General features: G+C 37.1%; 1 protein-coding gene across 12 annotated transcripts in view, besides 2 other annotated features; it reads left to right on the forward strand.

The window, feature by feature from the left end:
• CNTN5 (contactin 5) overlaps positions 1-12,383 on the forward strand; it is a 1,337,937-nt gene that overhangs the window by 955,819 nt on the left and 369,735 nt on the right. The window lies entirely within an intron of this gene.
• Positions 3,733-3,902: an enhancer, noted in NCBI's record as "experimental_22387 CRE fragment used in MPRA reporter constructs". NCBI's record gives its function as "activates a minimal promoter by MPRAs in K562 erythroleukemia cells, with activity observed for both the introgressed and non-introgressed 11:99851317 variant alleles {active_cell/tissue: K562}" and the evidence as "EXISTENCE:reporter gene assay evidence [ECO:0000049][PMID:34662402]".
• Positions 8,662-8,831: an enhancer, noted in NCBI's record as "experimental_22407 CRE fragment used in MPRA reporter constructs". NCBI's record gives its function as "activates a minimal promoter by MPRAs in K562 erythroleukemia cells, with activity observed for both the introgressed and non-introgressed 11:99856246 variant alleles {active_cell/tissue: K562}" and the evidence as "EXISTENCE:reporter gene assay evidence [ECO:0000049][PMID:34662402]".

The raw sequence follows: 12,383 nt of genomic DNA on the forward strand, positions 1-12,383 counted from the left end.
CAGGCTGCTGCAAAGACCTCTAACATGCCCTGGAAACACTTTCCACATTGTCTTGGCTATTAACATATAGCTCCTACTTAAGCAAATTTCTGCAGCTGGCTTGAAGTTCTTCCCAGAAAATGGGTTTTTCTTTTTTATCTCATGGTCAGGCTACAAATTTTCCAAGCGTTTATTTTCTGCTTTCCTTTTAAACATAAGCTTGAATTTCAGACCATTTCTTTGTAAACTCATATGACTGGCCACTTTTAAAAACAGCCAGGTCACATCTTGAAAGCTTTGCTGCATAGAAATTTCTTCCACCAGGTATTCTAAATAATTGCTCTCAAGTTCATAGTTCCACAGATATCTAGGTCAGAGGCAAAATACCACCAGTCTCCTTGCTAAAATATAGCATGAGTTACCTTTGCACCAGTTCTCAATAAGTTCCTCAACTCTATCTGAGAAACCTCAGCTTTGACTTTATTGTCCATATCACTATCAGCATTTTGGCCAAAACCATTCATCAAGTCTCCAGGAAGTTTTAAACTTTCTCACATCTTCCTGTCTTCTTTTGAGCCCTCCAAACTGTTCCAACATCTGCCCATTACTCAGTTCCAAAGTCACTTCCACGTTTTCAGGTGTCTTTACAGCAATATCTTACTCCTGGTAGCAATTTTTATATTAGTTCATTTTCACACCGCTATGAAGAGCTACCTGAGACTTGGTAATTTATAAATAAAAGAGGTTTAATTGACTGATGGTTCTGCATGGCTGAGAAGGCCTCAGGAAACTTACAATCATGGCAGAATGCAGACAGACAAGAAGCAAGGCATGTCTTACATGGTGGCAGGGGAGAGAGAGAGTGAAGGTGGAAATGCCACACCTTTAAACCATCAAATCTTGTTAGAACTCTCATGAGACAGCACTAGGGGGATGGTGCTAAACCATGAGAAACCACCACCATGATCTAGTTACCTCTCATGAGGCCCCGCCTTCAACATATGGGGATTATAATTCAACATAAGATTTAGGTGGGGGCACAGAGCAAAACCTTATCACACATTGTCAAAGATCTCTTGCTCCCCATGACATAACAAATACACTAGTCAGGCTAAAATTCCACTAAATTGTTGTTTAGGTGAATAAGAATTATGTTATTAAAAATAAGGTTCAACAATGAGAATTTCAGTGCAGTAATTTCACTTTACTGTATTTTGGTTGAATTACAGTCATGTGCTGCATAGCAATGTTTCAGTCAGTGATGGACCACATATATGACAGTGGTCTCATGACATTATAATGGAACTGAGAATTCCAGTCGCCTAGTGACTTTCAGTGTAACCTGTGTAGGCTAGGCTAATTTGTGTGTTGTGTCTTTATTTTTAACAAAAGAATTGCAAAAGATAATAAAAATTTTAAAGATAGAAAAAAGCTTATAGAATAAAGATCTAAAGAAAGAAAACATTTTTACAGCTGTACAATATGTTTGTCTTTTAAGCTGTGTCATAATGAAAGAGTCAAAAAGTTAAAAATAAGTTTATAAAGTAAAAATGTTACAGTAAACTAAGGTTCATTTATTATTAAAGAACAAAATATATTTGTGATTAACTTAATATATCTTAAGTGTGCCGTGTTTATAAAGTCAACAGTAATGTACAGTAGTGTCCTAGGCTTCACATCCGCTCACCACTCACTCACTGGCTCACCCAGAGCAACGTCTGGTCCTGCAAGTGCTATTTGTAGTAAATGCCCTGTACAGGTGTACCATTGTTATTTATATCATATTTTATCATACCTTTTTTATGTTTAGGCACAAAAATACTTACCATTGTATTACAATTGTCTACAGTATTCAGTAGAGTAACATGCTGTGCAGGTTTGCAGCCTAGGAACAATAGGGTATACCATATAGCCGAGGTATGAAGCAAGCTATATCATCTAGGTTTTTGTAAGTGCCCTCTGATGTTTTAACAGCAACGAAATTGCCTAATGTCGCATTAATCCTCATCACTAAGTGACGCATGACTGCTTATTTTATGACATTTAACATTGTACTGAGACAGCTTCCCAAAGAGGAAAGGAAGTTGGTTTATATGGGAAGAGAGGTAGGATAGAATTGTGATGATCATCATCAGAGGGCTTTGGCATCATTTAAAGAAATCTATTTGTGTTTTTCTATAAGGTCAGGCAGAGAGCTTTTGAGGTAGGCTTAATTAGGTTGCTATCCCAGTTCTGCCCCGCTTTAACTATGTGACCCACTCTCTCTAAACTTTAGATTCTTGATTCACGTAACACTGTTTCTCTCTCCTTTTGAAATTGATGTAAAGATTAGAATAATTATAAGTGTAAAGAATCTGGCATGCACAGATTTTTGTTTCATTTCGTTTTCTTTTTTCTTTTGGTGCTGGGGATTCAAGAATGGCATGCCCTTTGACTCTCGAAGAACTCATGATCTAGTAGAGGAGATAGACAAGTTAATGATCCTGTCAAAAGAAGTCATGCCACAATGTGTGAAGAGTAAAGAGGTATCATATTTCAGAGGTACAAATAGGACAGGAACTGAACTCCACAGGGCCCTTAGAAGCATTTGCACAGAGGAGTTGACATTTGAGTACAGTGCTGATGAAAGAAAAAGAGTTTGTGAATTGCCCCAATTCTGGGCTGGCATTGCAGACAGAGGGAAAAACATACAAAGGCACTGGGGAAGAAAAGTAAATGAAGAAGAAGTAGAACATCCCCAAACCAAAAAACAAACCCACCTTCATCTTTTATGTTTTTGTGTGAGGCAGGCTTCTATGAAGGATACATGTATATGGAGGGGAGGTAGTTTACTTTTTCTTCTCTTCTTTACCATAAGATCCTTGCTCCTATGTCCTAGTACCCAAAATAACTATGTTAGTGGTATGAACTGAGTTCTTCATAGTACAAGCTCATAGTTCATAACTTAGTTGTTATGAACTAAGTTGTATTTTGTGTGTTAAATAGCAACCCAACCACTATTTACAATATTCTGTAGAAAAATGTCTTTGGATCCAAAGCACTGATATACTGCAGAATACATGGAATACAATTCATTCATTATTCATCATTGTGGAGAAGAGCATGGACTCTGAAGCCGGACTTCCTGAATTCAAGTCCTGGCTCTGGCATTTAAGAGCCATGTGACTTTAGGTAACTTTTCAACTTCCATGAGTCAAACCAATTCAAAGGGTTATGAGGAGTAGAGTTGTTATAGCTAAAGGAGTTACAAGGGTACCTAACACATAGTAAACCCCATATAAGTATTGGGTATTATTCATCATTAGTCTTGTAACAATGATTAGTGCATAACCTGAAAGGTAATGCTAGACCTCTAGCTGTCATTTTAGGTATTAATTTCTCTCTGGAACTTAAGAAAGTTTTTGAAAAGATGACTTTAATGTAAGGGAGAAGTGGATTCCAGCCAACAAAAATCAAATTACCAGCTATTTAAAAATCCAATTACCAGCTATATTTTAAAAATCATAATACAACTAGAAGCAACAAGACTTCATAGATTATATGTGAATGTATAATGAAATTGCTTGCTTCCTCAAACCTTGATGTTACTAAACTTATTTAAGCCTGTGAAACCAGCAAATTTGTTGAGCTGAGATAGGACAATTTGTACCTCAAGCAAATAGATTTCCAAAGACTTTTCAGGGTTAGATTCAATATTTGTGTAACCGGTGTATTAGCAATGAATACTTACTGTGGGTACAGCCCTGCTTCTGAGATGCTTCTGAAAGCATTTGATCGCGCACAAACAGAACTAGGACGATTTGCAAAGGAGGGTCCCTTCCACTATAAATATTCTGATTACTTCTTTTTTGAAGAAGAAAAAGTACGTATTTTGCAGTCCATTAAATAGCAGTTCCCAGTTGCTGCTGCCTTTTAATATGAATATAGTCAATAATTTATTTGATGGTAAGATTCTTTTTGTTTTTTATTTCAGCTTAATACCTGATAATATGTTCAGCCTAAAAGGATAATAAGGAAACTGATTAATTTAGTCCTCTTATTATATATTGCCAAGACAAAATTGATTCTTTTATGAAAGTGAAAACAAGTACTTTGTGATTTCTTCATCCTCATTAACAGGCTTAAGATAGAATTTCATTTTATCAATGTCAAAGAGCTAAAATACCTTTAATGATTGAAGTATAAACAGAAAAGCAATATATTAAAGGGTTAATCTATTTTAAAAGTAACTTTTTTTCATATACACATGAATACAACCATATATAATCAAAAATTGATAATTCAATCTACCTGTATTAGTTAGGGTTTTATAGAGAGAAAGAGCCAATAGGATATATATATATATATATATATATATACACACACACACACATATATGAAAGAGAATTGATTAGGGAAATTGATTCATGTGATGATGGAAGCTGAGAAGTCCCATGGCAAACCATCTGCAAGCTAAAGACCCTGGAATGCTCATAGTGTGGCTCGATCCAAGTCCAAAGGCCTCAGAACCCAGGAAGCTGATGGTGTAACTCCTGGTCTGAGACCACAGGCCTGATAACCCAGGGGGACCACTGGTGTAAGCCATGGAGTCCGAAGGCCAGGAGGCCTGGAGCTCTGGTGTCCAAAGGCAGTAGAGGAGAAGTGTATCTCATTTCCAGGAAATAGACACATGCCTTTCCTCTGTTATTGTTCTGTCTGAGTCCCAAGCCAATTGAATGGTGCCTGCCTACACTGAGGGTGGATCTTTCCCACCTAGTCCACTCAGATTCACATGCTAGTTTCATCTGGAAACACCCTCACAAACACACCCCAAAATAATGCTTTACCACGTTTCTTGGTATTGCTTAACGTATCCAGTCAAGTTGACACAATTAAAATTAACCATCACACTCTCCAAATGATACTGAAATCTGAAAGTTCTTATGAGGAATTGGTGAAAATCCTAGAAGTTTTGTGATGTCTTCCTGGTCCTGAGTAATTATAAATTCTTTAATGTATTTGAGGATTGGTCATCATTCTATGCCATAAGTATAATCAATGTTTAAAACTAGCTCTTATCACTATGCTTGTAGCAGAGTAGAATTATCTATATGCAAATAACTTACCATAATCAGAGCCCATATCAGCCAAAACTAAGTGTGAGATGAGGCTCTAGTTAACAATAAATTATCTCATTAGAGAAACAAAATTGCAGTCATACAACTTTACTAAGTAGATAGGAAAAGTGTAAATAGTAAATGCCTAGGAGTTTGTAGGATGGATCCATCGATGTAATTATATACAGCTAAACATAATTACTGTGGTTATAGAAAATATTCTTGAGGAAAAGGAATGTTATCTAGCCTTGTTAATGGAGAATACTTGAGTGCATATATAAGCTGATAACTTCAGTGAATGACTAATGAACTTCAAACGAATGACTAAAGCTATTTAGAAGATAGTCTGAACAGAGCCGGGGCTATGGTAGTCAAGTGGAAACTAAGGTTGAAGAATTAGCATTGGGGCAGGTTTTCAAAGATTTGCATACAAAAATAAAGAGCTTGAATTTCATCATAAGGCAACAGGGAACCACTGATGTTACAAGAAAGAAAAATAAATGATAAAAATGCTATTTTAGAAAGATAAATATGAAGTCAAAGTATAGAATGGATTGGGGTAAAAAGACAGCTGGCAGGAGGCTGAATACACCATGATAAAGGCAAAGGTAGTGAAGGTTTTAATTAGAATTATGTCTGTGGAAAGAAAAAAGAAGCAACACAGAGAAGAAATACTGAAAAGAATACAGGTATTATGAAATCACAGTTTGCTCTTGAAACAGACTCAAACTTAAAACTAAGGAAAATCTGTTCTGATCAGAAAAGATCCAAGACAGGTCAAATTTATTTATTTTTTATGTATTTGTGTATTTTTTTGAGATGGAGTCTGGCTCTGTCACCCAGGCTGGAGTGCAGTGGGGCGATCTTGGCTCACTGCAAGTTCATCCTCCCGGGTTCACGCCATTCTCCTGCCTCTGCCTCCCGAGTAGGTGGGACTATAGGTGCCTGCCACCACGCCCAGTTAATTTTTTTGTATTTTTAGTAGATACGGGGTTTCACCGTATTAGCCAGGATGGTCTCGATCTCCTGACCTCATGATCCGCCCACCTCGGCCTCCCAAAGTGCTGGGATTGCAGGCATGAAAATTTTAATAGAGAAATGAAGTCACATAGTCAATGAGAGAAACCTGTGGACCATGGAGGGCCCAAAGAGTAACAGGTAGCCAGATAGAAGTTAATAAATCCATGATCAGTCACATCAGGTGCAAAGAATAAACTTCATTTCTTCACTGCTGGAAACTACAGTGCAGTGAAAGAGATAGACAAGTAAACAACATTAAAATGCAATGAGACATGTACTAAGATAATGATTTGAACTTTGTACTGTGAAAACAAAGAATAGAGTGAATATAATTATTCTAAAGATGGAGAGATGAATTTGAGTATGGTTTTAAAAGCTGAATTATAGTTTATTAAACAGAGATAAGGTTTAAAAATTACAGGGAAAGGCAAAAATATGTGGCTGTAAAGTGTCATGGTTAGTTTATGGAGTGGAGAAAAGTGTTGTGTAGCTAAGGTGTGAGATTTGTGAGGAGAGGTATCAGTAAGTATAGGACTGACAAGAGAAGTAAAATCCAAATTTGGATGGGCTCGAATGCAATACTAGGGGATTCAAATTTTGCCTTAAAACATTATTGAGTAGACAGAGTCCTTTAATTAGTATTGAAAAGGTTTGTTATTTTTGTTGTTTGCTGTCCCTTTTTGCTTGCTTACTTGCTTTCAGCACAAAAACTCTAGTAGTAGTAGGAGGAGAACAGATGAACAGATTAAAGGGTTGATCTAGAGCCCTGAAAGGACTTTTGGAGAAAGACATTGATTGACAATATGCTACCATTTCATTCTGTTGAGTAATGAAAGCCAAATAGATATGATTTTGGAAAAGCAGTTTTATTATGATGAGTGGGTAGGGTTAAGAAGAATACAGTTGTACAATAAGATGTGTTTGCATATATTGGCCTGGGGGTTCAAAGGATAAATTAGGAAGGCATCAGAAACAAAGAAAAACTAAAGGGAAATTTGCAGTAGAGTGGGTTAGATAGGAGCATTCAGATTTGATGATGATGGTTTTGACCAGTAAGATAATTTAAATAACTGTATCATAAGGCAGAACATGATTGGTATCATAAGAAATAAACAATTATGGGCAGCTGGGCATAGTGGCGACACCTGTTACCCCAGCACTTTGGGAGGCTGAGGCAGGCAGATCACTTGAGGTCAGGAGTTTGAGACCAGCCCGGCCAACATGATGAAACCCCATTTCTACTAAAAATACACACAAAAAATTTTTTAGCTGGGCATGGTGGTACATGCCTGTAGTCCCAGCTACTTGGAAGTCTGAGTCGAGAGAATCGCTTGAACCAAGGAGGTGGAGGCTGCAGTGAGCCAAGATTGTGCCACAGCACTCCCACCTGGGTGTCAGCTAGACTCCATCACAAAAAAAGAGAGAAAGAAAAGAATGGGAAAGAGAGAAAGGGAAGGGAGAAGAGGAAGGGAGAAAAGAAAATGAGAAAAGGAAAAGGAAAGGAAAGGAAGAAAAGAAAGAAAAGAAAAAAGAAAAGAAAGAGAAACCACGATGGGGAATCTGCAGTAAGGCACAAGATTTCTTGCGGGAGGAATTAGAGAAGGTTGTTTTCTGTTGTGGTGATGGTGATGATTTTTTTGTTTTTGTTTTTGTTTTCATTTTGGTGGGGTTTTGAGGGGTGGGGGTTGGCTTCTGGTTTTTAATGAAGGCCCTATTTTTGTGTTCCTTTTAAATGTTTTTATAAGATACAATTTGAAGTGAAACATAAACTGAATTTTAGTATGCATATGATCTTATTGAGATATTTTTAGACAAGGACCAATAGCATGTATACAGGCTCATAATACATTTAGAATACAGCATATTTGGAAAATAGCAAGCACTCCTATTACATGGAATGTTGCATGCATAAATGGGAAGAATTTGAGGCAAAATATGGAAAGATAACTTAGGACTAGAACATTGGAGCTGATGCAGAATATTTCATGACCGCTTTGTCAGACTTGCAACAGGGGCGCCCCGTTTACTCGGCCCACTGTGCTCAACCCCTTACAGAAGGGAGCATGTGAGTAAGTGAGTGTGGAATCCTTCCAGCCACTGCTCCAGGTGCTGGCAGGAGCGAGCTCCATTTACTATCCTGCGGCAGTGCCCAGGTGAGGGTGCCTGCAACGGTGAAGCTCAAGAAGGGGTGTTACAATGACTTCTTCGCTCCACTACCCATAGAGTGCAGTGTATTATCAGCTTACTTAGCCCCTTGCCTCATCACATGGGATGGCTTCCCTCTGCTGGCAAGGGCAAAGGGTCAGTGTGATGGCCATTTTTGGGTCCCTGTACTCGGTGGTTCCTGAGCTCTTGTCCAGCATCCAAGAAGAATAAGGTCACACAGACACTTGAAGGATGGCAAAAGTGGATAATTTTATTTAGCAATGGAAATGGTTCTCAGCAGACAGGGGAGCAGGAGAGGGGACAGGACAGGCAGGCAGTCTCCCCACAAAGTCCAGCTGGATCTTCCCTGAAGTCAAGTTGTCTCTGCTCTGAAGTCCAGCTGTCTCTCTGAAGTCAAGTCACCTCTCTATCCTCTACTGACTGTGTCTGGGGTCTTTATAGGCACAGGATGATGGGTAGGGTGGGCTATAGGTAGTTTTGGAAAAGGCAACATTCAGTTGGTAAGAAGGCGTTTTTCAGAAAGAACCAATTGGGAAAGAGAGGGCAGACAGGAATAGAAGTTTTCACTTTGGGCCATGGGTTTCAGGCTTTTCAGCTTGAAGGTGGAGTTTCACCAGGGACCTATCCCTGTCTGCCTCCTGCCTCTATCAAAGCCTTCAAGTGGAAGACTAAAACATTTAGACATTAGTGAGTAAAGCATTCATGACATCCTTTTTTAGCCATTGTAATCATCCGTCTTTTAATAACCCCTCATCTTCCTGGCACGGTCTTCCTCATTTATTTTATTCAGTCAATGTCTTGGTGATAACCATATATACATCAATGATCCATCCAATATTATGACTTCTCAGTTTCTTTACCTCCAAGCTTCCCATGAACTTGTACTCCATCCCATCTTAGCCACCCTTTCCTGTGGTAATAGCCTGAATCTTGTGATTATCAATTATTCTACCTTCATCACAATCTCAATTTCAAGTAAGCCATTTTCTGCTGAAAGCCTCTTTTCCATTCAAATAATTATGTTTACTACTTCCACTTAAACAATCATTTGGCCCCTTCAGACCTCTCATTCCTTTTATCAGTTCACCACTTCACTGTCCATCATACCCTCACATCCTCAAGTGCCTTCCCTTTCTAGGTGAGATTACATAGTCACTTATTGTAAACTTTCTCCTCTGTCAGCTCTCAACTCTCTATCCCATCAATCTCTTGATCATGTAATACTCACTTGGCAAACCTCTTACCTCAACCTCAGCCTATGCCCCATTCATTTCATGATTATATCCATATAGCTGAGTATAGATAGAAAAAAATACATAATTTTGAACACCGATTTTGCCTTAACTTTATATTCTTATTTACCTTTCAGTGACAAATATAAGGTCTTCCCTATGTCTTTATCTGTATGACTGCTACACCACTAATTACAAATAATAAACTGTTCTTGACAGTTTTGTGCCCTAGACTCCATCTCTTCTTACCTACATCAAGAAGTTGTCATCTGCAATTATTTACCCTCTCTTGCAAACATCACATTTCCCTCCATCCTGAATCATTCTCATCAGTAAACATGCTAGAATATTTATTATACTGAAATTAACCATTTTATGATTTCATAGCTCCCTCCAACTTCCATCCTTTTTTTCTCTGCTCTCCTTGATAGCAAGACTTCGTCCAAGAGTTGTTTAAACCCATCTCAAATTTCTATTTTATGTTTTCTTATACCTAATCCTATGAAGCTTTAATAACCACCATTATTGCAAATGTCACCAAGGATCTTCACATTGCCAAAGCTAATGGGATAGATGAAAGGGAATCCAAAATAAAGTAATGGCAATTAGAATAAAAATAAGGGAATGAAAAAGAGAGATGTAATAGGAATCAAATTGACAGAACTTGATAATTGACTGATTGCGGAGAAATGGAGAGAACATCAGCTTATTCATTCACAAAATGTGTTTTATTTTTTAAAATATCCCAATAATTTAAAACAAAATATAGATTTTTTCATAATTCCAGATTAGAAAATTATTTTAAGTATCCCACAAAACAAAAAAGAACACAAACATTGAAATACAAAAAATGAAATATTCCCTAGCTCCTATGCCACCTGTCACCCACATATATAGTTGATAACAAGTAGATTCACTAATTGTCATCAAATATTCTTGACCATTAACTTTGTACCAGGGACTGTGTGAGGATCCAAAGGGAACAAAATGATGTGGTTCCTGTCCTGGTTTAGTTTACAGCTAAAAGTGAAAACAGATATGGAACAAATGGGTAGAAATGCCATTAGATTGAATAATTGATTGAGTCTGATTGGTTTTACCAAAAAAAGAAAAGAAAAATAATGAACAATGCTATTTCTCTTTATATATATACACACACAGTATTCATATATACATAATATATGCACATATATATTTTATATATATTTCTTTCTCCATATGTGTATATATTTACATTATATATACTTGCATTATGTATTTATGAATATATATATATATATATACACATACACACACACACATACATATATGCACAGAGAGAGAGGAAAGAGATTAACTTGGTGAGAGAAGTGGGGTGGTAGAGAGGAAAGACTTTACTGAAAAAGTAATATTTAAAGTAGAACTTAATTGACTACAAAATTGGGAATGGGTAAATAAATTCTTCCTTGCAAACAATATGAATGTTTCCTGGGGAGCAGAATAAAATATTGAGGAAAAGTGGCTTCAGACTTAATAAAGTCCTAGCATTTGAACTCCTTGCCTTTTATTTAATAGCTCACTGATTTGGAGGGGGTTACATAATTTTTAAAATAGTTTTCTATTATTTAAAATAGGGACTATCGTATCTACCTTACTGTGTTTTGTAAGTTTTAAATGACAGTTTACTTATATACATTTCACAAAGCACCAGGCTTGTAGCAGATGTTCAGTTAATGTTTATTCCCATCCACTTTACATCTAGAGTCTTTAATGCACAAAAATCCCTGTGATGAAGCTATGATAATCAGCATTCCCCCTCTGAAAACATTTCTCCTTTGAACCATATCATACACAGAGGCTTTGAAATCCACAAGAGTTTGTAAAATGAAATATGTTGTGAATTGTCTACAGAGCAAATCAGGAGCTGCCACATCTTGTATCTCAAATATGAGTGGTAACAGCAGGAATGCTGGCATTCTCCACAAGAAGACTACAGTGAGAAAACAATCTGTGCAGATTAAAGTGTGAAAATAAACTATTAACAATGGTTTAAAACAACTCATTTGTCACGTTTTTTGCCCAGAGTTATGCAACCAGGCAGCTGATCAACTGTGCTGGCAGAACTAATTCCTCCAGGATATTTTAGGTCCCTTTATTTCTTGGTAATTACTGTGTAGATTGGTAGCCAGCTATGAGTAAGAAACTCTTTGGAGGGAACATTCCTTCTGAAGAATGATAAAACTTTACAAATAAAAAGTAATGTGAGTGAGTGTTCTTGATAGTTGCAAGGAAGAGGAGCTCACTCAAGTGAACCTAAGTAAGGAACTTTCTATTTTCAGGAGAAACATGACATGATAAGAGAAATGGTATAGAGAAATCCAAGATTAAGGTCTGTAATACAGCTTGATTTTGTGGGGACTAAGACAGGAAGGGACCGAGTCCAAATCGTTCTAAGAATGTTAGCAGCAGGAGTTCATGACTATTCTCTTTATGAATTCCCCACCAGTGTGGCTGAGCTATTACATGTAGCTTTTCCACTCTTCAATTGTCTTAGCCTTATCCTCCACTTTGAAAATATTCTCCCTACCTTCCAGATGGGGTGTGTGTGTGTTTGTGTGTGTGTGTGTGTGTGTGTGTGTAAAAACAACTTCCTCATAACTTAGGTTTGCCTTAAGTCACCTTAATATTATTTGTGCCTCACTGCCTCCTTTCAGTTTTTTGTTTGTTTGTTTGTTTTTGCAGAAAGGACTGTGGATAAGGTGATTTATGATTAATTTGTCTAATACATTGAGTAAAGTCCACCATATCTGTGAGACATATTTCTTTGTTTTATCATGGAAAACTTAATCTGCTAGACTTAAATGTTAGAGTGAACTGTATAGAAATCACAATTTCTAGTTAAATCACAATT

This window comes from Homo sapiens, chromosome 11, assembly GCF_000001405.40.
Source record: "Homo sapiens chromosome 11, GRCh38.p14 Primary Assembly".
NCBI lineage: Eukaryota > Metazoa > Chordata > Mammalia > Primates > Hominidae > Homo > Homo sapiens.